At 40.8% G+C, this 26,447-nt stretch overlaps 1 protein-coding gene across 3 annotated transcripts in view, besides 1 other annotated feature; it reads left to right on the top strand.

Moving 5' to 3' along the window:
* LRMDA (leucine rich melanocyte differentiation associated) overlaps positions 1–25,782 on the top strand; it is a 1,128,545-nt gene extending 1,102,763 nt beyond the window's left edge. For all 3 annotated transcript variants that reach the window (NR_131178.2, NM_001305581.2, NM_032024.5), the window contains one exon: positions 22,823–25,782. Coding sequence is in view for 2 of the 3 variants with exons in the window: in NM_001305581.2 (NP_001292510.1) it covers positions 22,823–22,902 (80 nt within the window). In the remaining variant the exon portion in view is untranslated. The remainder of the gene's footprint in view (positions 1–22,822) is intronic.
* Positions 13,005–13,299: a silencer, noted in NCBI's record as "tiled region #3593; HepG2 Repressive DNase matched - State 12:CtcfO". NCBI's record gives its function as "represses a minimal TATA promoter and a strong SV40 promoter by Sharpr-MPRA in HepG2 cells {active_cell/tissue: HepG2}" and the evidence as "EXISTENCE:reporter gene assay evidence [ECO:0000049][PMID:27701403]".

Raw genomic sequence — 26,447 nt, forward strand, 5'->3', positions numbered from 1 at the left:
TTCATGACCAAGGCTTTTGAGAAATGGCTGTGCCTCTTCCACATTCTTTCCCTTTCCACTGGCCTGATGCAAATGAGAGGACTCAATAGGAGAAGGCAGAGCCACAAAAATTACACCTGGAGGAAATTGCCTGTATTGGCCTTTTGAGTAAGAAAGATGTAAACTTCTATTGTGTTGGGCCACTGAAATTTTGGGACTTATTTGTTACAGCAGCTTGTATAATCCTTGTTAATGCAGTAACAGGATAGTTATAAGATGGCTCATTATAAAAATTATGACAGATTATCAAGGCATATTCCAAAAAATATTATCATTTGGCAATGATAATACATGTCATTCAGAAGCTGAAGTTTCTCATTGTCACCTTGCGGGGGTATATTGACAAAGATTATTATTGCCATTCAAAATATGAACACTGGATCTCACATAAGTCATGTGACCTGCCAAAATTTGCAAACCTGAACTACAGAGGAGCTAGTACCAGCATCTAGGTATTCTGTTTCTTAGTTCTATCCACCCACCCCATTATACTACCTCCATGATATTTATGTCTAAAATTATTATAGTTGTTTGTTTCTAAATTTTGTCTGCTTGCTTTCCTTGCCTGTCTTCCACCAGCAGATTATAGTGTCTGTGACCTAAGACTTTGCTATGTGCCAGGCAATAGCCTTGCATATCCTCACACAGGGATACACTGCCGTATCCCTAGCTACCAGGATATTGCCCAGCACATCGTAGACTCTCAGTAAATAGTTGTGTCATGTAAGAAAGCATGAGTCCATGACCAGAAAATAACTTTTCAAGTCAGGCATTTTGTAATGCAAATTAAACATGGGTCTTATGCATTTTTGTGAAAGAAGGAGGGAAGGAAGGAATAAAAGAAGGATGCATTATATATGTGGAATATATGCTCTTGAGGGGGTTGGAAGAAGAGGAAGGCAGAGGATGAAGGCATTGAGGTGGGGAGGGACAAATAATTTCCCATTCTTAACTAATTTTTTAAACAACTGATTGCTGTTTGCAGAAGATGCGTTGGCCTAAAATGATCATAATCTTTTGTTAGCTTATAATGCTTAAATAGGTCACTTAAATAGGACTCTTCTAATAGAAGAGAAGCCCATTATACAGATTAATAAAAATTGATAGAGACTTGAAAACTGCTCATGGGGTCAGTTATCTCCAATTAAAAGTTCATATGCCAAGAAAAACAAGCCTCTTCCTCCTAAATTATTACTGTGAAAATTTTCAAGCCTACAGAAAAGTTGGAAAAATAGTACATTAAACATACATATATTCTCTACCTCAGTTCACTGTTAATATTGGGCCATATTTGCCATTTCCCTATATCTCTGAGTCTGCCTGTGTATTATATATACCATTTTATTTTATTCTATTTTATTTTATCTTTCAGATGAAGTTTCATTCTTGTCGCCCAGGCTGGAGTGCAGTGGTGCGTTCTCGGCTCACTGCAACCTCCGCCTCCCCGGCTCAAGCGATTCTCCTGTCTCAGCCTCCCAAGTAGCTGGAAATACAGGCATGTGCCACCATGCCCAGCTAATTTTGTATTTTTAGTAAAGATGGAGTTTCTTCATGTTGGCCAGGTTGGTCTCAAATTCCTGACCTCAGGTGATCCACCTGCCTTGGCCTCCCAAAGTGCTCGGATTACAGGCATGAGTCACTGCACCTGGCATATAGATACCATTTTAAATGAGACATTTAAATAAATTACAGACACCATCACACTTCATCCCTCAATACTTCGGCATGGGTCTCCTATACGTAAGGGCATTTTCCTGTGAAACAATAATACCATTATCATACCTAAGAAAATTAATGTTAAGTCACCATTGTTACCTAATATGTGCAGTCCATAGTAACATTTCCCCAATTTTCCCAATGGTGTCTCTTGTAACTCTTTTTGTTTTAATCCAGTATTTAATCAAAGTTTATACTTTGCATTTGATGGTTAAGGCTTTTAAGTCTTTTCCAATCTAGGGTGATGGTTCTCAAGGGTGGGCCCCAGACCGGCAGTGTCACATCACTGGGGTCTCCGGGGGTCGATCCAGCAATCTTTGTTGAAAGAAGCTCTCCAGGTGATTCTGATGAAACTGAAGAGCGATTGATCTAGAGCATGTTCCCACCTTTCCTACTTTTCATGACATTTCATTTTTATCAAAAGCCCAGGTCAATTTCATTTTAGAATGTCCCACATTCTGAATTTTTCTGAACATTCCCTCATGGTTTGATTCAAGTTTAACATTTTGGCAAGCATAGGTGATATTGGCATATTTACTGCATCATGTTATGAGGCACGTGTTATTTAATGATCCCTTTTCCCCTTCTTAGTGATGCTAAGATTGATCATTTGGCTAACGTGGTTACCGCCAGATGGATCCCCTCTAAAGGCTATGTTCCCCTTTATAATTAATAAGTGACCTAAAGACTGTGTGAATATTTTCTTCCCCAATAAACTTTCACCCAATAGTTGTAACAGCCATTGATAATACTTGCCTGAATTACTATGTTGGTGCATGGTAATTTTTCTAATTTTGTCACTCCTTCTATATTAATTAGCTGTCATTCTTTAAATAAGAGCTTTCTTTCTTCCCTTGCATCTATTTGTATTTATATTTGCTTAAATATTATGATGGACTCATACTTATTAAAAAATCAAATGTATCAAATAATTACTATCATCATTATTTCCGATATTCAAATAGTGCCAAATTTGTTCACGAGAGAGCTTCTTCAAACTTCTTTCTGTGCTCTTTCCCTGCTTTCTGGCACAACAAAATGTTCTAGGCTTACTGTGTACATTCCCTGCCCCACAACATGAATCAGCCATTTCTTCCAGTAGCCCTTGTTATTTTGGAAACCAGTATGTGGATGCTAGATGCCCTACACACGTGCATGACTTGAGCACATGTGTGCACACACACAGTCATATGTGTATATTTTAATCATAATTTCTTACAGATCCCTCCAATTCAAATTTGCAGAGCTATTGTCACCTTCTTCTTATGCTTATCCTTTCTCTCTGTAGGTCAGAAGTCTGACCTTGGTCTTCATTGAGCTAAAATTCAGGTGCCAATGGGGTTGTACTTCTTTCTGGAGGCCCAAAGGAAAATTTTGTTTTCTTGCCTTTTCCAGCTTCTAAAGGCCATACATATTCCTTGCTCCTGGCCCCTTCCTCCATTTTCAGAGCCAGTGACACTGCACCGCTCTGACGGCTTTTCCATCGTCACATCTGCCTCTCTGATGACAGTCTTAAAAGCTTCTTTTTTTTAAAGGAGTGATGTGATTAGATTGAGCCCACCCAGATAGTCCAGGATAATACCCCCATCTGCAAAGCCTCTCTTGCCATGTCACATAACGTATTCACAGGTTCCAGGGATTCAAGTGTGGACATCTTGAGTTATTCTGCCTACCTACCTCATCTTCCCTCATTCTTAGTTTTATTTCTCTTCTCTCTGAAAATCCTGACTTTTAACAACCTCAGTATATTTACACATTTTCTCTGTTCTACAATATACACAAAATAATTTGAGAAGGATAATAGCAATAACACCAACAACAATAAGCCTACTAAGTTAAAGCTCAAGATTTCTTTGTAGTTTTCTGTTACTTAGAATATATTCAGGCATGTAGTTGAAGTACTGTGTTCCAAAATTACTTTAATTAATTTCTTTGTATAGTTGTACTATAGATTTAATATACAATTAGGTTCATTTTTTTCTGTTTGTATTCAGACTTAGGGTTCACATTTTCCATCCTTTCCAATTTATTTTATATTTTGAGTGTGTAAACTATATGATGATAAAGAGACATATTCAGAGAAGTCCCTGTCCCATCCATATCCCCTTTACCCTATTTCTACCCACCAGCTACACATTGTCATTCTTAGTCTCTGGTTTATCCTTCCCACATTCTTTTTGGAAAGCATAGATGGACATGTGTATATGGGTTTTTTTTTAACCTTGTTTTTACTTCTTTCTTACCAAAAAGTAGCTGAGTTTATTGATTTTATTTTTGCTTGTTGCATTTTTACTTAACAGGATATCTTGCATATATATGTATATATATATGTATATACATATTTATATAGTTATATATGTATATATATATGTATATACATATTTATATACAGTTATATATATGTATATATATATACACACACACACACACACATATACAGTATATCCTGGGAATCACTCTATATTAGGTAGTCATGGAAATCTTGAAAGGAGTAATTATTAAATTCTTAAATACGTCTTCTGGATTGTTTAACTTGTTACAACTCTGTATAATATTTGTGACTTAACACAACTATAAAAAGGCAGGCATTGAAAGAAAATGTCTTGTATGCCTTCTGCCCACCTCTTCCCTCCCTGAGGCAGAGCTAATTTTTTTCCTGTGTTTGCATAACATTTTGTATATTAAAGTATTATAGCAACTTTTATTATAGTTATTTTTATTTGACAAACCATCTCCCTTTCTGGCCTGCTAGTTCCACAAATGTACAAAGAATTTCTCTCTTTCCTTTTCTTTTTTCTTTCTTTTTAGAGGTGGGAGTGAGTAGCAATGATTATGCCTGGCATATGGTGTTTCTCCATTTACTTATTTTGCCTGAAATTCCATTAGAGATTTAGTCAGTTGGTCTATTTTTATAATAGCGTCTATTTTAAAAAAGGTATAACATCCTAATATGTATTAACTTATCAGAGACTAGCCACTTCTTAGAAAAGCTATGAAAGGTCAGATGAGAAAAAAGGACAGTGGTGTTTGGATTCTGTCTCTGATAGAAACCCCAAGGAAGGCAAGGAAGAGTACAAGGGTTGTAGATACTCTAGGAAGAAGAGAGGATGAATCAAGGAAAGGAAAAGAGGAGACAGAAAGAGAAGGTCTGTATCATGATGTCCACTATGTGAGGTACTCACAGCACAGGAAATCTGCCTAGATGATAATAGGAGTGATGTTCATTAGGAAAGAAATAGCCCCAAGGAGTTTTTTCTTTACATGCTAAGAAGCTGAGGCCCAGAGAGATGGAACAGGTTTCCCAGGGCAATAGCACTAGGAACTGGAGCTGCAAACTTTTGAGTCCACCATATCCACCCTGAGTTGAGGTGATCTTTCTTATGATCCTGAGAGGGAACCTTTGAAATCAAGCAGGCACCCCTACTTCCCCAGGGGTGGGCAGAGGGCCTGAGCAATCCCTCCTTTTAGAGCACTTTGCAGCTGGGCCACTCATCTCAAGATTGGAATGTGCCATCTCCATCTTTCCTGACCTCCTTCAGTCAAGTCAGCTGTATTTGTGGAGGTGCATTGTTCAGTCTCAGAGCATTGTTTAAATTTAAAATCAATAGAGAAAAGTGTGCCAGCGAGAGGCACAGACTGATTAAGTGCTGTCTATATGAAGAGGTTTATCCTCTGCCACATTTCTGTTGAAAGCCTGTGAAACATGAATAGGATGGAGCAAAGTGAAAACACATTAAAAATTATGTCAGATACCCAAATGCAGTAAAGCAACTGCATCTCTGACAGGTAATCAAGAATTGGGTGACTCTGAGTTCTGATTTGGCGTAATGATATCAACATGTTCACACACACACACACACACACATTCCTTGTATACACATAACACACATACAAGATACACACACGAAGTAGACACACAACATGTAGTATGTGTATTGTATAACACAACTTACATAAAGACACACAGAAGACACACACAACACACATACAAACACCTACATGCCCATATTCAACACACATGCACGCAAAACATGCAACACACATTAGTGCCTGCACACATGTGCACATGTGCACACATTGAGCAACACAATAAAGATGTAACTTTTCCATCTCCCAATTCATTCTACATTTTTATTTTGATGAAAAGATAGCAGTAGAGGGGGAAATCTCTTCATCAGAAAATACAGTGAAAAAATTCCCAAGACATTGTCACGTATTACTGGTTATTTTTGGTGGTGAAGAGAATTATTTGAAAACAAAGAAGCCTTTCACAAAGCCTCTAAAATACAAAAGATTTAATAACATTTACATCTGTGTATCAGCCATGTCTGTAATGCGAGTCATGAATAACACATAAACCAGAGCACGGAAAGAACAGAAGTGCTCACACATCATTTAAAATCCAACCCACCCCATCGTCGGTGGAATCAAATACACAGCAGGGGCAGTTCCAGTTGCTACACACACAATAGAGTCATTGGAAATGAAAACATATTAATTATGTTCCTTAAGGTTAGGAGAGAAATAGCAGGATTCACTAAACCTTTCTAACTTCTCTGTTGAAAATTTGTACCAAAGAGTACATCCTGGGTTGCCTCTTTATTTTTCCTAAGAAACTGCAGAATGAGCATGTGTATTTGTTTTGTTTTACTGTTTATTCGAGTCTGCACTTGGGGCTCAGACTTGCCTCATTGTTGTACTGAAAATGGAAGAAAGTTGGCTTGGGAAGATGGATCTTTGTTACGAGTGAATAACTTGCAGAAAAATTACTTGTTTTAAATGCTTGACAATACCTGCACAAGTCCCAGTGGTATATGTGGAAATTCTTGCTGCTATGAAATGAGTCATATAGTATCCAGTCCTAGCACCCATGGAGCAACATGTTTGACCATGAAGGAAATCATTCCTTAGTCTGATTTGGATAACTGTCCGTGGCCCAAATTTGGAATTGTATGTTCCTAGGTCCATTCATTTGGCTCCTATGTATATCCAGGGTATCCAGGGATCTTCTAGGCTGGTGAGAGATCATCAAACTCTGCTAGGAGGCAACCTCTAGTGCCCTAATAGAGAAGGGTGAAGCCGGGAATGCTGGCTCACGCCTGTAATCCAAGCACTTTGGGAGGCCGAGTTGGGTGGGTTACTTGAGGTCAGGAGGTCGAGTCCAGCCTAGCCAACATGCCAAAACCTCATCTCTACTAAAAATACCAAAATTAGCCAGGCATGGGGGCACATGCCTGTGATCCCAGCTACTTGGGAGGCCAAGGCAGGAGAATCACTTGAACCCAGGAAGTGGAGGCTGCAGTGAGCCCAGATCGCCCCACCGCTCCAGCCAGGGCGACAGGATGAGATTCCATCTTAAAAAAGAGAAGGATAAGTTCAGGGAAAATTGAACTGATGATTTTTGGGTGAGTTCATATTTATTCTTTAAGTCAGTATTGTGTTTTTGTTTCCAGGGGTAAGAAGATGTTCACATAATGCTAATGTTAGATTAGCACATTTTGTTTGCAGGCTTTTGTTTTGGCATTTATTTCTCCTTCTTCCTCTGCTCACTATTTCCCCTTCTACTGCTAGGCTTCCTTCTGATGGTGTCAGAACACGGCATGCCAGTCCAGAGTAGTTTAAAACGAGCTCTGTAAATGTCATGGAACCCCTGCCTCTGCCTCCCCTATGTGTCTCATTTCAGTGTAAAATTTCAAGCACTTCCCTGTCCTTACGCCGCAAAAGGTTAATAGTCATCTTTTTTTTATGTACTGTAAATGCTCAATTCCTAAGGATAGTGTTTCAGGGCAAGTTGAGTGTAATTGCTAAATAATATAGTAATTCTCTTTTTAAATGAGTCATACTTGCGTTGTTCCAGATGCTCCTGCATGCATGTGTGTGCATGTATACATGCATGCATGTAGGTGTGTGCACGTGTGTGTGTGTGTGTGTGTGTGTGTAGGCAGGCATGAGTGAGGCCTCCCCTTGGGGGAAGTCACAGCCATCTCATAGGAGTTTGCACATTTTCACATTTGGGTTTTAAATGTTGTGCCACATCCTGGGCTTTTAGGTGCTGCGGATTATGTATAATAGATGACCTGCATTTACAGAGATGTGTGCTATACAGATGTAAATGTTATTATAGCTTTTATATTTTATGTTCTTGTTGAAAGATCATTTTGTCTTTGAATAATATGGCCGCTCAATTTTTTTTGGAGGGGAGGGGGTTATCTTTAAAAGAGAATATGAAATGGATATTGCACATCATATATTTCTTAAAAGTAATTTGGAATTTTAGGGTCTGGGATTGGGGCTGACTGATACACTGCCGTGATGAGATATAACCCCTGGAAAATAACAGCACCCGCACATGCCTGCATCTGTCTAACCTCATAATTCACTTTCACATTGGATTATGGATGTCTGCGTTCAGTGAGTCTATCTTCCCTTTAGGTATTATTTCAGCCCTTTGAGATAATAAGGAAAGTTTAATTGCGTTGTTAATTGATTTTTTGCACAACATTATTACCTTGATTGATTGCAGAGTTGATGAAAATGTTAGACACAGGCAGCGTGGAGTATCAGCCAGGCAAGGAGTGGGAGCCTTGTGGAGAATAGATAACCTTGATGTTAAGAGCTATATCCTTCAGATATGTCTTCCCTTGACATATTGATGGCCCCTGAAAAGGGAAAAGCTGATTGTATGCAGAATGCAATCATTAAACCCACTTCAGCTCACTGTTGATTAATTTGTTTTTTCCTGAAGGATCTAGTTATAGGGAAGGCCTCACTTGTACCAACCACAGCCATTTTCCAGGTTCCAGACTGTGCTTAACCCTCTAGGTGAAGGGAAGTGAGGAGGCTGGCTTGCCTGAGACGGGAAGATTATCTTAGGGTGCGCAGGGTGTGTGCTTAAGGCTCACAAGGTGTCTCCATGCTCGGGAACACTCTATGTCCTTCACCATAGTGCTGATTTTCCTTAAATTATTGATTCTTTAAAATGCCAATAGCAAGGAACCCTTCACTGAGACCTGGTGTAGGATGAAACTGTCACTTGGAGATTCTCAGGAAGGTGTTCACCAGTCCAGTGGTGTCGGGAGAGACATGGCACTCAGGAGCTTTTATTATACATTAGGTAAAACCCTGCATGAGATTGCCCCCATGATTGGAGAATTTAGTTGTTATTGGGGTGTGCCTGTGTGTGTGTGTGTGTGTGTGTGTGTGTGTGTGTGTGTGTGTGTAGAGAGTGATGATAAGAAGGGATTTCTGCAGACAGTTTCTTATATTGTCAATTACTCCTCTCCCTGGCCTTATATGACACTTTCTTAGAAAAGTTTATTGAAAGCCATCATCATTTTTTCTGAGTCCAGGGCCATCTTCATGGTAGCAAAAATCAGGTTGATTGATCAGTTGGTTTACTGATTGATTAATAGGACTTCTGTCCTGTTTCCCTCCCCTCAACTCACACCACTTCATTCGCAACTGCCCAACCCTGCACAGAGACTCAGTGGGCTGAATTTATGGGCAAAGAAGTTGCCCCTCTGGAAGAATGCAAGCTCTTATACATGCAGTACTCCTAGAGAGCCTCATCTTCTAGGGAGAACGGATTGCTACTTCTGCCACCCCCTCGCCAGCTTCCATGCTTATTACTCATGGAACATTCTGGCTTATTTTGCCCTCTTCTTTCCTTTGTGGCTGTGCCCAATGTTCATTCAAATAAAATTTCAATTGTATAGCATTGCTGGAGGCCTACCAATAGTTACATCAGCTTCCTGGAGTCCTGAGCCCCCCCCAGGAGAGGTCATGTGGGCTTCTCCCTGCACCACAGAGCACCCTGTAGACGGAATTCTCTGTGTGATGCTAAGCACAGTTTCTCCTCAGGCTGCCCCACCGCCTGCATTATGAGTCTTTCTTCTCCTGAACTCACCACTGGTGCTCAGGGAGTCTAATATCCATAGAGTCTTGGCCCTCAATTACCGTAATGGCTTATAATGAGATTTTGGCCAAGTAGCAGGTAGCAGGTTATTACTTCCTGCTCAGCGTGGGCAATGTCTACGCTGTTAATTTGTGTTGCCGAATGTGGCTTAGAGCTGGGCATCAAACTGTCGGAGCCAGATGTATTCTATTAGGTGCGAGGCTCACATTGGCCCATGGGCAATTTTTTCCCCCCAATATGGAAGCATGTTAACTTACCACAGGGTGAATCCTGACAAATTCAAGCCAGCCAAATAAAAGGGGTAATATCCCAAGCCATCAAAGTAGTACATTCTAGGGACAGATAACACCTGGTACCACCCACTGTCAGCAGTGTCTGTCTGACTGGGGCATTCTATTGATAGGCAAAAAACACACCCATCTTAATATTGCTGGAGAGGCTCTGGTGCCTTCATTAAGTTTTAATGAGCCTGACCCTAATGAAAGCCCTTATAACATGCTCTTCTACTATTTTCCTTGTCTTTATCTTGGGTAGAAAAAAATGTACAGAGGTTCATATAACTCTTATAACCTGCTTTCTACTATTAATTCTTCCTTAACCTACAGTTTCTTGCATTAACATATACATACACATATACATTTACATATATACATGCACACACACACACACACACACACACACACACACACACACACACAGCTTTTTCCCAAAGCAGGTTAGAGGATGGGAAGTTGAAGATCAGGAAATTATGAACATATTTTACCATTTGGCACTGGGATGAGCTAGTGTCCAAGAATTATGCTGTGCTTTCTGCAACAACAGACTGGGTCATTTTTTGTAAAGCAAACTTCTTTCGGTTAGATTATATATCATCAGATTCCCTTTGTTTTCTTTTCAGAGAAAGCAATTTAGGGTGTGCTGGAATTAGGAAAGATTATGGTGATATCAGTACAGGAAGAGTTTGTTTGGATTCTAATGAAGAGCAGGTGGAGGCTGGACCAATGGGCCCAAGTAAGGAAGGCCTTTTCCCCAATCCTTGCAGGGTTTGAATTATGACAAACCCAGTTGTTACAGGGTCTGCTTAATTTTATTTGAAAGGTTTCTTTTTTTTTGTTTTTTATTTTGTTTTTTTTTTTTTGTAGCTTGAAGAATTAGGAAAACAAGAAAGCAAATTGTCTTTATTTTCAGTGACTCTCTTGAGAAATTTCAGCCTGCAGAACCAGACAGAACTGTGGATGTTCCCTGCTTTTGATGTAAGCTCTCTAATAGGAACAGATCTGAAGCCCAAAAGCAAATTTCTGCTTGAGAGCAAAGCCAAAATTCCCATTCAGACTCTGCAGGAGGACCCCCACTGCTCAGATTTCTTCATACAAGATTCTGTCAGTTTTGGGGAAGTCCAAAGTCTTTCTGTGAAATTTTTCCTGCAAGTTATTTTTTGATTATACTCCATAAATGATGGTTCAGATCTATTCTACATATCCAAAGAAACTGTTTTCTTCTTTTTTCCTGTTAATGTAATTGCACATTACTAAAATTTGAATGTTTATGGTTTTTGTTTTAGATAAAGAGCTGGAACAACCTTTTATTATTATTATTATTATTATTATTATTATTATTGTTATTATTTAGGTATCATTAGCTTTCAGACTGCTATTGGGGATAAAATAAAACCTCCATTTACCAAAACTCAAGACACTAGAACCCTCAGTTAACCAGATTTTTGGATCTCTGATTTTAGACAGTCTTGATTTTACAAGAGTAAAAAGCAATGTCACGAGTTTTACTTTTTAAAAAGAAATAAGGGCCCCTCTGTAGGTTGTCCTAAAACAGTGTTTCTTAAAGTTGGTCCCTCAGCATCGGCATCACCTGGGAACTTGCAAAAATGCATACTCTTGGCCCCAACTCAGATCCATGGAATCAGAAACTCTGGGGAACGGGGCTTGGCAAGCTGTGTTTTAACAGGCCTTCTCAGTGATTCTGATGCATGGGCAAGTCATAGAACCACTGTCCCAGGGCCAACCCATACATTTCTACCTATAACTGTCCAGGGATGTATAATAAATGCTGGGGTTCAGAATAAGTATGCTGAGATCTTTTCATCTATTCCACAATTTAAAAACAATGTACTGCATACCTACTGTGCCCTTGGCTTTATGATGCATGGGCGAAAGTCTATTGTTTTCGATTTTTTGGAGCTCATATGAGCAGGAGATCCTAAGATCTTGAGAAATGTTCAATCTGCAGTCTTCCCACCCCAGCTAATCTCCTAACTGTACTATCCTCACTAAAGGCACTCCAGAAATACTCAGTTGTGGTCACTATGATTACCTAGTAAGACAGTGAAACTGACTTTGCTTTTAGTGTCTTATGTGTGAAAATTCAAAAAGGTTTCTAGCTAACCATGAGTTAATGAGATAATTTAATTAACAAGGACCCAACATTCTCCGAGTGGCTAGTTAGTCACATGACTGTTATATTAGGAAAGCTAAGAAGATGTGTGAGGGCCATTTTATACTTGCCTCACTGACCACTTGAGAGGCCTCTCGGCTGAAATGGAGAATAACACCTGGACCCAGCTCTGGTTTCCCCTGCCTAGAAGGCCAGTAACTCCAATTTGTGTTTACTCCTTCCCTGATTGAATCCACTCATGTATTTTTATCCTATAAAATTCTAATTTAAAATGCCATTCCCTAGAATGTTATACCTTTATTGCTGTTTGTTTGTTTGTTTGTTTTTTAATAATGATATGTTTGAAATATCTAGAAGCCCACAAATACCTCTTTCTCCTAAAGGGAGGTGATCATCTGTTGTTCCAGGTATGAAAATAGTTACTTGACCCATGTACCAGAGACCAATGATGGGGATCAGATGAGGATCAAACAGCAGCTGGAATTATTGTCATATTTTTATCTGAGTAGCTTCTGCCTCTCTTTTTTGATGACACTGAGACCAGGTACCCTGAGAGGGAAGACAATGCTAGGTAGATTTGTGGGGAGGGGGAGCATTAAAAGAGGATAACTTTGTGTGTATTGATCCATTTTTCATTTTTATTTATTTTTACGTTTTTTACTTTTTTGACTGTCAAATGATGGCATATCTTTTTGAACTTTCATGGTAAAAATGATGTTTTCCACCTAAGAAATGCAGGAAATCTTTAGTATTTTGAATGCTTCTTTACATTTGTGGAGGTGATATGCAAAAATCCCCAATCTCTGAGCCTGGAAGATTAATTAGAACAATTGATGGTAAAGAAATTCAGTCCCTGAAATTGAGGCAAGAAGAACCCCAAAATGGGGGGCAAGGAGTGTCTGATAGCCCCATTCCTGAAAACCTTCAGCACAGATTGACCAAACATGACATACTGATCATTAAGGAACCTATAATTGGTGACCAAAAGCACAGTGTGGCTATAATGGCTCTCCCTGAATAGTTGCCGCCATTTATTTATTTATTTATTTATTTTAAGCAAGCGGCTGCTTTCCTAACTTCATGCTGCCCTCTAGTGGTGATGCTCCCGACTTCAGCTAGAAGGTGGAAAGGATGAATGTAGAGATAATGGCGGGAATGGAGGAGGTGGTGACGGGGTGGCTTTTTCCTTTCTTTCTTTTTTCTCTCCTGTCTGAAAGATGTCTGAGTTTCTCACTCAAACATTGAGAAAGAAACGTGAGGCCAGAGCACTTGACCACTGTCCGCTTTGACTGACAGCCTGGTTGATGTGACATCCATCACGGACCCGCACTGAAGGGCACTTCACAAATCTGAAGGGATTCGCATCCCATCTCGGCATGCACTTTGGAATCCAGCCCATCTCAAATCCATTAAGCCCTACCTAGAATACAGACATAGGAGAGAAGGGAAATACACTCACACCAAACTAGTCTTGCAGTTCAAGTTTCTCTCTAAGAAAAAGCAAGTAAGAATGAGCCTGCTAAGTAAGGGTGTGGGTGATCTTTGATGTTCTCCGGAGACCCCTGGTTCCTGTGAACAGGACTGAACAAATAAATAATGAATTTGAAAAGTAAGCGGAAAAGCAAAATTTATATTCCTGTCGCCAAGGCAGTATCTTATAATTCAGGGATATTTCTGGGCTAGATAGAGTTGTATGGGTGCCTGGTCCGGTTCTGTCACTTTCCAAAAGCCAGTTGGAACCTTATTTTTCTCCGCTGTAAAATGAAAGAATTTACCTAAAATGAGGTTCTTTAAATTCTTTCTCAGCTTGAGAATCCTCCAATACAGTTAAAGAAATACTTACAAAGAAAAGTTTACCATTCTGTATTGAAGCATACTAGGCAGTACAGCAAATCACAGAGAATCCTTATAGGACAGTATAAGCAATTCATTGTTTAGGAAGTCAAGAATAAAAACTGTTTCAGGCTTCATCTTTGGCTTGGACCAAAAAAAAAAAAAAAAATGTAACCTGAGGCTAAAAAACAAAATTTGGACTGCTAAGAAGATTTAGCAGTTTATTTGGGGGCTGGGGAGGAGAGGGGTTGTTGGAGTAAGGAAATATTTACCATGGAGTTTGACCTCTCATATTTATAATACATTTCTGTTTGATTGAAATACAATGTGTATAGAGGTAGGAGCCAAAAAAGGGAGCTCCCAATAAAGGGGGCTAGTGAGCCCACCCTCCAATCTGAGAATCTTTCTGTCAGTTGGTACTCACTTGTTACTACCCCCAATCCAAAAAAATAGGAAATTAAAAGGCATTGACATCTAAGCAAAAGTACATTGTCTGTTTCCTTTCCAGGATTCACATAATGGAAATATTCCCTGCCAGATAATGTTTAATCTGTTAGCCTAATATTTCTTTCATGTGGAAAGGACTGAATGGCCCACTCAGTCTGGATAGAGCCACAACGCCTGTAACCTGAGTGTGGGGTCCAGGACCCAAGATGGGAGAGTAGAGAATGTCACTAAGGATCTGCTCAAAGATGCAGTAATTTCTCAGACTTGGACCAGCTTTTCCATTTTCCACTGACAGATTATATGACAGACTATATGAGGAACTTGCCCTGCATTTTTTTCTCCTCTCTTTCCTTCCCCACCTCCCCTTCTTCTTCTAAGATGACAAGCCTCATTTCAGCTGCCCTGGGAGCCCAGGGTATGTTTTCTTGAGGCTCTGGTTTGTCACACGACAATGAGCCTGCCCACTCTGTGACTACCTGTGTAGCCTCCCTGGTCTGGGAGGCTAGCCCCACAGCCTTGCCTGCTGATCACCTTCACGACAAATTTTGCCAGTATCCCTTCCCTGCTGACTGACTTCCTTCCCCTGTTTTTCCTTCCCTACAAACAAGTGGGTGAGACTTGACAAGGCCCAGCATTTGTCTGAGCAGGCTGTATAATCTGTCCTCTCCCAGTGGAAAGCTGCACTGGACGGGTCTGAGCATTGGAGTCAAATGCCCTCTTGTCAAAAGGATAGGTTGCCTGGCATTTTTGCTAGCTTTCTTTCCAGGTATGGTGCATCCTAACCCTTGAATTGGTGCTCCACACTCTAATATTTTGTCTGGCATTTGGTAGAAGACAGCATATCAGAACCCCACAGTTTAGACCCTATCATGCACTTGGTATTCACCTTTGTCCTTCATACTCTTTGTGCTAAGAAATGAATAAAAACTAGTGTTTACTCTACTTTATGATAACAATGTTGGTAGAAATAATCAACCTGGGAAAAAAAGGACAGCAACTAATCCTGCACGTAATATAATTTATGATGAATGAAAAACTGACCAAAGATTTATATCTTGTTGATATATTGAAAACCACACAAATACATGGGGAGGAATTAACCTTGGTAGAAATAATGAAAACAAAATAAAATTGAAATGAGCTAAAACTACACACAATAAAATTTGTTGACTAAAGTTTAAGAGCAGACTCAAGTCTTCTTGTCGCAATTTAGATCTGCAATATTTTACTCAAGAAAATGGGACTTTGTAAAAATAAATGACTCTAAAAGAGATTTAGAAGATGTAATCAGCACAATTTAATATTTGGCCAGAGCTGATTGAGGAATTTAACCTTACTGTAAAAATTACGTGATAAAGAATTGATCCCATTGAAAATAAACTCAATAAAATAGAAATGAAAATGTTAAAAATAGAAATGGTTTTTTGTATTTAAAAATTGATTAAGGAATTAAATTGGCTAAATGGAGTTTGCTGTGAATAATTAATGCTTTCTCAAAGACAAATTACCAGACTAGTTTACATGTTTGTATTTATAAACCTGAAGTCAAAGCATTCCTGGACTCAAATTTGGAGAATTCAAATGTCTACCAATGCAAGACATCAGGGTCAGTGTAGCAGGGTAGGAATACCCCTTGTGGTGTTGTTTTTGTACAGTGAAGGTGAAACAGGAAGCATGGTTTGAAGTGGTCACTGCGGTATTTAGCAAGGACAGTGTGCAGTATCCCCGCCCCCAACCCCCCACCCCCGGCCCCCATGGTGCAAGAGCCCTAACAGAGGTTTTGGGGGTTATAGCATGCACTGTTGCGATGCAGTACCCCATTCCCACCCAATATGCAGATGATAAACCGAGACACTTGCCTGAAGTCCTGCTCAGCTAGGTTGGGAAACAAGTCTCACACTTTTTTTTTCCTTCTCCACCCTCCCCTGGGTAAGGTGTAGAGCCTTTCTTCATTTCATCTCCAACCTAAGGCATCTCAGATGTGCGGCAGATGAAGGGAAAATATACTGGGTGGAGAAGAAGGTCTTTGTCCTCCTTCCTCAAAAACTGCTTCCACACAATCCCTTCCCCTAAGACCTTTTAAAGTCTCTCTTCTTTATTCTGTCTTAGTATTTAAGTAGCTTACACTGAAGTAGGATGTTGTGCTAGGAGCCTGTCATTTCTCAGGCTCCACTAAATCCTGTGTGATAGCCACAGCAGAGCTGATAGCACATCACATGGGCTGACCTCAGGGTATTGCTCCAGCTACTTCTCAAGATCATAAAACATGGGTGTTTATTCCTTTCCAGTTCCCCATGTATTCACGGCCTGCACTTAACAAAGACTGAGGAATGTGCTTTCTGGGGAATGTCCCTTCCCACTGTATGATGTTTACAGCTCTTTAGGCCAGATGATAATGTTCACTGCACTTCTCTCTTTTCAACTAGATGTTGTGATTGCTTTGTTTTTGTGGGAGGAAAGTGTTTGGGGTAAAAACACCACCACGATTTAGGAACTGTGGCTGTTGCCTCCTATTACTCTTTGTTGTTCAATGGGGCAAATATTTAATCCGTATATATTTTCAGAGTGTTTCAAATGTCTGAAGTCATACCAGAGGTTAAAAGATGAGTGTCCAGCAATTGACATTCCTTACTTTGTGGATTCTGTGTAAATTTTATGTACATGATTATTTTAATGGTATTAATTTATTTAACAAATATTTATTGAACATCTCATCTGTACCAAGTGCAGATGCTCTCCAACTTACGAAGGTTCAACCTATAATTGTTTAACCTTACAAAGCCGTACACATTTGATAGAAGATGTAACCCCATTGTAAGTTGAAGGGCTTACAACTTCAGATAGTTTCAAGTAATGATGCATTTTTGATTTACAATAATTTCAACTTACAATAGGTTTATTGGGATGTAGCTCCATGGTAAACAAGATGCTTCTGTATGGTTTTAGGTACCGGGTGTTAGAAATTGGGGAGGAGGGAGAATATTATAGGGGATGACACATTTATGGACATGTATAGAGTCCCATGGAAACATTGTTCTAGAGCCTTCTGCAGTGGACCAAGACGCTCCTGATCACCTTTTCCTCTCTGTCACTGGGCCCATCTACCTCTTCACAACATTGTTATCACCTTTTGCAGGGGTCAGGAGGTACCTAGTTCCTTCGTTTCTCATACAGATGAGAGAACAGGAGTTCTGTGGGGGAACCCTTCATCCCCTGCCTCCATCCTAGGGGTAATTATAAACTCCTAGTATCACAATGGGATCAAGATATGTTTGTGATTTCATAGCTACATTTATAAACTCATATGAAATGCATTTAAAATAATGATCCCTAAAGTGATGACTACCAAAACTAACAATAGTGATAATTATTCTATTTTACAAATATAAATGTGTTGGTCCAACCTGCACTCCAATGTCAAATGCATTTTTGTATTTTTATATGCAGATTGTTTTTCACCACTAAAATATTAATGACAGACCACTTGCTTTGATGGCTGGGCTTTAGTTCTGTTGAATACGGAGTTATGAGACTTGGGCTTATGCCAAAGCCAGTGGGATACAGCTTAGTTAGTGGTCAGCACTTCTAGCTGTATGAAATGCAGATTGCAGGAAAGTTAATGAAAACCCTTTCCTCAAGGATTTTGGGGTCCCCCAGAGGCCCCCTTCTATCCAGGTTATACTGTGGGGTTACAGGCTGGATGGGTTTCAAGGGCTGACTTAGTCCAAATCAATTTTTTTATTGACTGACCTGTTGAATTTGTCTCCTGCATCAGGCAATATTGGACCTGGTGTTCTCATCTTCATAAGGAAAACATTGGAAAATGCCAAATCACCTATTTCAGAGCTAAAATGAACCTCTGAGATTATCTGGCCCCTTGCCCTTGTTTTACAAATGGGGAAACCTGCCCAGTGAGAGAAAGGGATGTGTACATGGTCACATGACTGTTGGGGCAGGGCTGGATCTAAATGCAGGTCTTCCCCCACTTCCCCTTACTAAATAGACTATTGAACTGCAGCTGGAAGTGTGAGGCCATCCAGGAATCAGGGAGTCCAGGATGCTGGATGAATGGATGTGCAAGAATTCCCTTCCCTGGACTGGGCTCTCAGGGCCTCCCCCAGCAAAATCTCTGGTACTGACCCTGCAGTCCCAGCCTCACATCCAAGAAAGGAGGCTGATTCCCACCCACTTAGGCAGCCCCAAGGTTATAACTTAACCTGCATAATTAGGATGTCCATTCCAGAGGGGAAAAACATGGAAAAGATAAAGGGCCTCTTTAAAACAGATTCTTCCTGATACTTTTTTTTCATAATTATAGCTTTAACAGCTTATGGTGATGGGAAAGCTGGCTACTTAAGAAAAATTAGGAGTCTCATTTGGCAGGAGAGAATTCCCCAGGGGATGTTGCCCTGTCATTTTTCAGGGTCTTTCGAAAAGAAACCCCACACAGACAGCTGCACGTCAGCCTGACACAGGGCAAGCCTGCTTTACTTACTATGGCCAAAGCCAGATCTTTTAATTAAAAACACTGCATATGCCATTAAATGTGTTGTTCCCCCTCCAGTCCCAAGAAGTTGTAGTTTGAAGAGATAGAAACAAATGAATCCGTTGCAGATGTGTAGAGAAACCATTGCCTACTGAGTCACAAACCAGCGGGTTCCCAAATTCCAGCCTCGGAGTGCCTCCCCATCAAAATGTTCTTTGCAAGCAAACTGTTCCCTCCGTAATTTTCACAGTTGATGGCAGTTGCCATGGCGGGAGAAGAAGGGCTGTGGGGAGGACGAGGGAGAGAGAAACACAATGCCACCTCACTTAATTTACGAGCAGAGCCTCATATTTTACAAATAACCTTCATGATAAATAAAGGCCTGTGGCCACACATGGGACTGTGCTGTTTCGTGCATGTTTGCTTTTCCTGGTTAATTTTATTTATTTATTTTTGAACACAAAAGTCACATATTGGGGGTAATCACATCCCAACTCTGAGCTCTGGGAGGAGACTCACAGAGGCAATTCTCGCTTAATTTCAGCTGCTGGAGATGGTTTGAGTTTGACAATTTCAGCCGATTCTTAGCATTGCTAGCCAGAGCACCTTTCTCCCCGGGCGAGCACCAGCAGCTGGATCTCATTTTCAACTGCCAGGCCGTCCCCACGCCTTCCTGGAGCAGCCCACAGACTGAGTGCCGTCCTTTCTGGGAGTTTATTCAAGGTGACAGCTCCTCACACAATGGCCTTCTGATCACCTCAAGTAGCCAAGATATCAGTGGGGTCGGGCGTGCTCCTCCTGCAAATTCCAAATTTAGATTGACTGAGGTTATCCTTAGGCCCCTTGACCCCACCACTCCAGCAGAACAGAACTGCCAGGACCTTTGCAGCCACAGTGAGTTTTGTAATGATGTCTGGGGAGAGATGTTCTGCAGGGGCAGGCAGAGACGACCCCAAGTGATGGGGAGTGATGTCAGCTTTCGTTAGAGCCGCAGGCAGCGTTAGAATATCCTTGGCATAATATGGCGCTGGTATCTCTGTCAGTATCTCTGTTTTCTGTCACCGCACACAATCCTGGGCCTGTCTGCAACCCTGATGGTGTCTTTTCAGATCAGGCTGTTGCCAGCACAGAGACTAGCTCGGCTCTTCACCACACAGCCCCTTTGTTTGAAGTCTGCCCTTTTGTCGTTAATGCACTTGATGTCTATTTAAATCTGACAGTGAATGCAGTATCTGTTTTCCTGTCAAGAGATCATTGACAATATTAATACCTCATGTCCTTGCCTCATTTTCCAAGTGCTGACACCTAGCCGCAGTCTCCTGCATTCATCAAACAGCCTTCTCTCACCAGGATGTCTATAAACATTCTTGCTTCCAGGCCCAAAGAAACAGGGTAGGCCTTAAAAAGGACTTTTATCAATGCCAGCCAGAAAGAAGGCTCGGGAATGTGGCACAGAACACATCCCAGCCCACGTTCCAGGAGCATCCAGCCTGTTTCTAGGGCGGCACTTGCCATTCAAGTTGCATGTAAGTGAGATCTGGAGTCGAAGTTTACCCTGGAGAAAGGGAAGAAAAAAAAAGCAGTTGAATCCGTGAATGTACTGGAGAGTTTACTGGAGAGAGGGCACTCATGGTGGGTGGTGTGTGTGTGTGTGTGTGTGTGTGTGGTGTGTGTGTGTGTTTGCCTTTCATCCTTTTGCTTAAGAGAAAGATTGTGTTCTTTATGACATCCGACAGACCTATCTGTTCCTTTTTATTAAAATTCATGTTATCCTAGTGCCATAGAAATAAATTAGCATCCTTTGGCCCCATGCTTCCACATTCTTCAGGGTTTATTTGAATCAATTATGTTTAAGGAAGCCCTCTGTGGATACCTGGCAGAACTGAGGCACTCCCACCCAGGCCTGTAGTGGATGCTATTCCTGGAGCAGAGCCTGATCAGCCAAGCCCACAGACCAGCAGGATCCTGGCATGGGTGACAATATTAGTACAATGCTGATGGCTACATAATTCAGCACGATAAAGGAAACAGCTCAATGCCAACAACTAAAAGAATAATTTAGGTCCCAAGAAGGGTCTCAGTGAGGTTCCATCCAAGCTCAAAGTTTCCAGGCACCAGACCAATACTGAAAACCAGAAATTGGGGATTAGGGGCCAAGGAGAAAGCATGACCAAGGAGGAGGAATGAGCCACAGTAAACTTACTCATGGGAACATGGCAGGAAGTAAAACTAATGAGAGTGAGCCCAAGGCCAGCTTTGAGGCCGTGGAACAATGTCACCCTCTCTCCATTGCCAACTCTGATAGACTATTTGACCCCAGCAATTTCTAGCTTTGTTCCAAGCCATCCAAACCAGGGAGCATCTGCTCTGTCCTTAAAAGTTTCTAAAAGTCATTTTGATCCTTATGTAAGAATAAGGTTTGAAGTTTTGTAGTGGAGAAACATCTCTTTTACAGTTGCAAAAATATTTACTACTTAGAACTTCTGATGTGAAGAACCTGGTTAATTTCAAGTGCTAATTTATCACAAATTAACCAAAAAAAAAAAAAAAAAAAAAATGGGCTTGTTGGTTTCACACTATCACACTGATGGAAAAAAAAATCATCATGTCCCTAGGTAGCTATTTTCACAGGCAGATTTGTGGCTATTGAATGACTGTCTTATGGACATTTCCTTTCTTTGTTTTTTTCTAGTTGTGTACAGTTCAGAGACTCAAGTCCGATTAGCGCTAAGACAACTCTGTCCAACTGAATTTAAAATAGGTTTTTCTAAAAATAGAAGAAAATAAAAATGCAGGTGGCAAAAACAAAACAGATTTTTCCTTGATAATCCTACAGAGCTTTCATAATAACTATGGAAGTGATTTCTTATGGGCATTTAGAATAAATAATGAGTTGATTAAAAAGTTCAACCCTATTGTAGGGGCATTTTTCATTGTTAAGTCTCCTACAATCTCCTTGAATGAGAGGAGAGCCTTATACGGAGCCACAGAGTTACTTAAAGTAAAACTGAAAATGGAAATCAAATGCATTCTGACCAGAGAAAGAGAGTTCAGGATTCCTGTAAGAAGCCATTTAATGGGAGGCTCTTGTTCCTGTCCATGTGGTGTTTTTTTTTGTTTTTGTTTTTTTGTTTTTTTGAGACGGTGTCTCTCCCTGTCGCCCAGGCTGGAGTGCACTGGCGCGATCTCGGCTCACTGCAAGCTCCACCTCCCGGGTTCACGCCATTCTCCTGCCTCAGCCTCCCGAGTAGCTGGGACTACAGGCACCTGCCACCACGCCCAGCTAATTTTTTTAATATTTTTAGTAGAGACGGAGTTTCATCATGTTAGACAAGATGGTCTCGATCTCCTGACCTTGTGATCCACCTGCCTCGGCCTCCCAAAGTGCTGGGATTACAGGCGTGAGCCACCACGCCCGGCCATTCATATGGTATTTTGTCAACACCACCTCTCTTCCTTAATCATCCCATATGTGCTCAATGCCTGGTGCCTGCCAGAATTTGGAATATTCTCTCTGGAAGTCAACAACATTGCTTCATGATAAAGGGTATCAAAATAGTCACATTCTGGGAAGATTGTTCTACATCTTTTACTTGGGCTGGGTTCATCTTTAAACTCTTAATTTTCCATTCTTTGAAACTCTACTAAGGGAAACTGGCGTGAGGAGAGGCTACATTCTGGGGAGTAATTGGCCAAATTAGAAAAGTACCTAGCATGTGGAAGAGAAGTCATGCAGAAAGTGATATTCCTAGGAGCCTATACTTGTAGTGACATTTTATTTCAATGTCAACTCTGAGGTTGACAGAATCTTCTTGTCTGTGAGGACAAAAAGGGAGAGTTCTTCCCTTCTGGAGCTTCATCCACTTTCTGCTGCCCATTGGATCTATGATTATCTTGCATGTCTGCTTTTCAGCACCTGTGTTTCCCTGCTATGCTAAGTGTGCCACCTGTAATGATGTGTGTCTTTTTATTTGCAGGTGTCCTGGGGAAGTGTCGCTACGTTTACTATGGGAAAAACTCAGAGGGCAACAGGTTTATCCGAGATGACCAGCTCTGAAGCCAACTTCTGTATACCTTCACCCATTTCATGAAAATAAAATCAAAAGGGAAATCAAAAATAAAGAAAACGCTAAAGAAAAAACAATAGCCCACATTGCCTCTCTTTGGGAAAAGCTATGACTTCAGCTTTTGGTACCTTCCGCTGACTTTGCCAGGCCTGTCAAGATGATCCTTCTGCCTTAGACTGAGTGGTCACATAGAGATTGACATGATTGCCCTTAAGCAGGTCTCATCCACCAGGGTGACAGACAGCGGTGGCAAAGCAACAGGGCTGACAGCATGAACACCATGATAGATTGCCTGGTCCTGCCACTGCTCACAGGGGAGCAGAGGTCACACCTGGGGCCTCCCTGGACATGCTCAGTGGCTGCAGTCAAGTGAGAAAGACTGTCCTCAGCTCGCCTATTGAATTGAAATCCCTCTGATACCATCGTGCTGTGGGCTTATTTTTAGTGAAATAGTCACAGTTTAGGGGATGGCCATTCTCCCTCACTCCTTTTAAATCTTAACGTCCTGTATTCTGCATATACATAGCTCCCGTCTCTTCCCCTCCACCTTCCTTTAGCATCGATTTTATGACAGGTGGTGCATTTCAGTTTGCAGTTTTTCGGAGAACAAGGTATAACTTCCCAGCCAGGTCATACATTTATGGCTGGCTTCATGTTGCTACAATCCCTTTATTGGCGTAAATAGCTTTCCCTAAATCCCTGACTACAAAAGCGTGGACTTTTATCTTGTTTCATTCAACTCTAAATCCACTTCTTGCCCTGAATATGATGCAGTGTAAGGCATAAGGCATCTTTCTCAGCATGAGGGTTTGGTTGCACCAGGGACTCTTATTTATTAATTTATTTTTAACCGTACACACTTCCAGTGATGCCTGTGGCCATACTTGTGCGTGGGGCTGGCTTGCTCCTTTGGGTGCTATTTAAAGGGAGTGAGGTGATGAAAGATAGAGTGAAGGGTCAGGAGGTTAAAAAACAAAATTAAGACTGTTGAAAACACCCACCAGACCAAAGAGTTTTTATAGAAGGCACAAACCTTTTGGATTTTGCATCTTTGTCATGACCTCTCAGAAATCAAATCCACAGGTTGTGAGACAGTGCTCTGTCTTCCTGTATGCTTGGCTGTGCACTAGCACTAATGTCACAAGGAACATAAGTGTGATCATTGCTAGTTGGGTGACTCAAAGTTTATCTAACTTGCTGGTGCACCAGTCAAATCACTCTAGAAGATGTTCAAAAGGTTGATTGATTGTTCTTGACACGATAGTGTTTATTTTTCTGCTTCTTCCATTTAGACCAAGTGTTCATTGTCCTCCCAGTATTAGGTCAGTTTGATGACAGCAAAACCTGAAAGAGAATCCCTCCAAGTTATAGATACTGAGGGACTAGGAGCTGCTATTGTAAAACTATGGGGACTCAGAATCCCTAAGCTGCCCAAGGAGAACCTACTTTCTCAGCTCTAGCCCGTTTACATAGCCTCTGGCCCACTGAGTCAACACAGGCCTTGAATGACATGTATTGAGGCTGGCAGGAGTCCCTGTTTGAGATTACACAACCTTTGTTAATCAGTTCTTTAGACAAGTTAACATTAAAATCCTCAAAACCATGAAAAATTGGAGAATGTTGAATGTTTGCATTTATCTCTCAAATCCATTAGTAACTGGATTTGAGTACCTTTTCTCTGTTTGATCTACAAAACAGCACTGGAAAAATGCTTTAAATTATCTGCATTTGGTCCCACCCTGGGTCATTGTTTAGAAGCATCAACACATGTTTTCTCCCTGGCATAATATGGGCAGCCAGAATTCTGTGCAAGGGCAGCTAGACGAGTCAGATGTCATATCCAATCTAGCCACACATATATCCTTGTCTTTATAAAAGGCTTTAACCCTGCCTCAAACAATAAAAAAGCACTTGTGAACTGACCACAGAATTTTTCCATCTTTATTTTTCTTACTTGTTTACTTTTTTTAATGTCAGAACCATTTGTATCATGCGCAGGAATGTCTCCCTCAATGTGAGCTTTGGAGGCAAAACATATTTTTGGAGTGAGTTATTGACCACATTGTTTCCCTCTCTTTGGGTTGTTTATTTTCTTCCAGAATGGTGTAATAACTTTAATTAAGATTAGCTTTAATTATAAATTACCTAAAGGCCATCACTAAGGTATATTCATCTTATTGATAGAATTATAGTCAGCTTTGTTTCTCTTAAGCAGGGATAGTGATAATGAAGTGCTGGGTTGGTTACAGTTCCACTGTGTGTTAACCAAAATTTGCTGTGCTAGAGCTAGACTTTGGTCTGAATTGGCAGAGGTAGAACCCATGTTGCATGTTTATCCTAAATCTGTAGGAATTTCCCAAACCTTGTTTTTCAAAGTTGAGAAGTAGAAAGTAATAAATTCAATCAGGGCCCAGACATGTTTTGTACCCCCTTTACCCTTTGGTCTTTCTTCCTTTTATCCTATTCCACTGAGCTTGTTCTTTGGGGATTGTGGTGCCTGACATCACTGTCTTTCCTCCCCTAGGACACTGACTTGAGTGGAGAGACCTCGGCAATTCAAGGCTGTCCTGCAGCTCTCTGTTGCCTCAGCAATGTCAGGACGACTGTCTCTTTCCTAAGTAACATAATTTTAAAGAACAATTTGTTCCTCAGGGAATAATGTCTTGGATTGTGGGGAATCCTATTAAAAGTACAACTATTGCAGTCATTTGCTTTTACTTTTACCAGCCTCACTCATAAACCCTCCATCTGTTTGTTGCTTTAAATAGAAGCACATTATAAGAGATTATCACTTGATCAGGCTGCATGTCTGAGTGTTGTGTGTTTTCACATACTCATGTATACTAAGGAATAAAAGAAAGCAAACCACAGATTCTGGATGAAAGGATTTTTCATTTGTTTGTGTGTGTGTGTGTGTGTGTGTGCATGTGTGTGTTTCCAGCGGAGATGTATCTTGTACATTTTCAAGGGAAAAATGTCTTTCTTGCTGTTTTCAAGAAATAACCTGGCTGTCTTTCTTCTTTTCTTTGTTAACATGCAGACCAAAAACAATCCACAGGACCCTTTTCATCAAAACAATAATGGTGTTTAGTACTTGCTACTTGCAAGGGCAGCCTAAATCAGGTCTGTGTGGCTGCAACACAGGTAATGCCCAGCGTGGACACAATAGTACCCATTGAGACTCTTCCCTGCTGTCCATCATTGTAGCTGATCCAATGTGACCTTTGACCACTTGCTTCTTCCGGTTCTGTTTCCAGGAAGAAACCTTCACTGAAGAAGGGCGCTACCATTACTCGATTCTCTCTAAGTTGTTCAAATACCATGCAGGAAACTGACTGTTATGAGTAAGACCTGGAAAGGAAAATGACACCAGAGAAGCACAAAGAATGTTGATTACCTGTTTATATGACAACTGGACCATCGGCTTGTGGTACAGTGTTGTGTATTACTTCTTCTAATGCATCAGCAACCCCTCAAATGACCCAAAGAACATTGAAAGCCACAACCACTGTTCAAAATATTGTCTTCCTACAAG

This window comes from Homo sapiens, chromosome 10 (genome assembly GCF_000001405.40).
Source record: "Homo sapiens chromosome 10, GRCh38.p14 Primary Assembly".
NCBI classification, from domain to species: domain Eukaryota; kingdom Metazoa; phylum Chordata; class Mammalia; order Primates; family Hominidae; genus Homo; species Homo sapiens.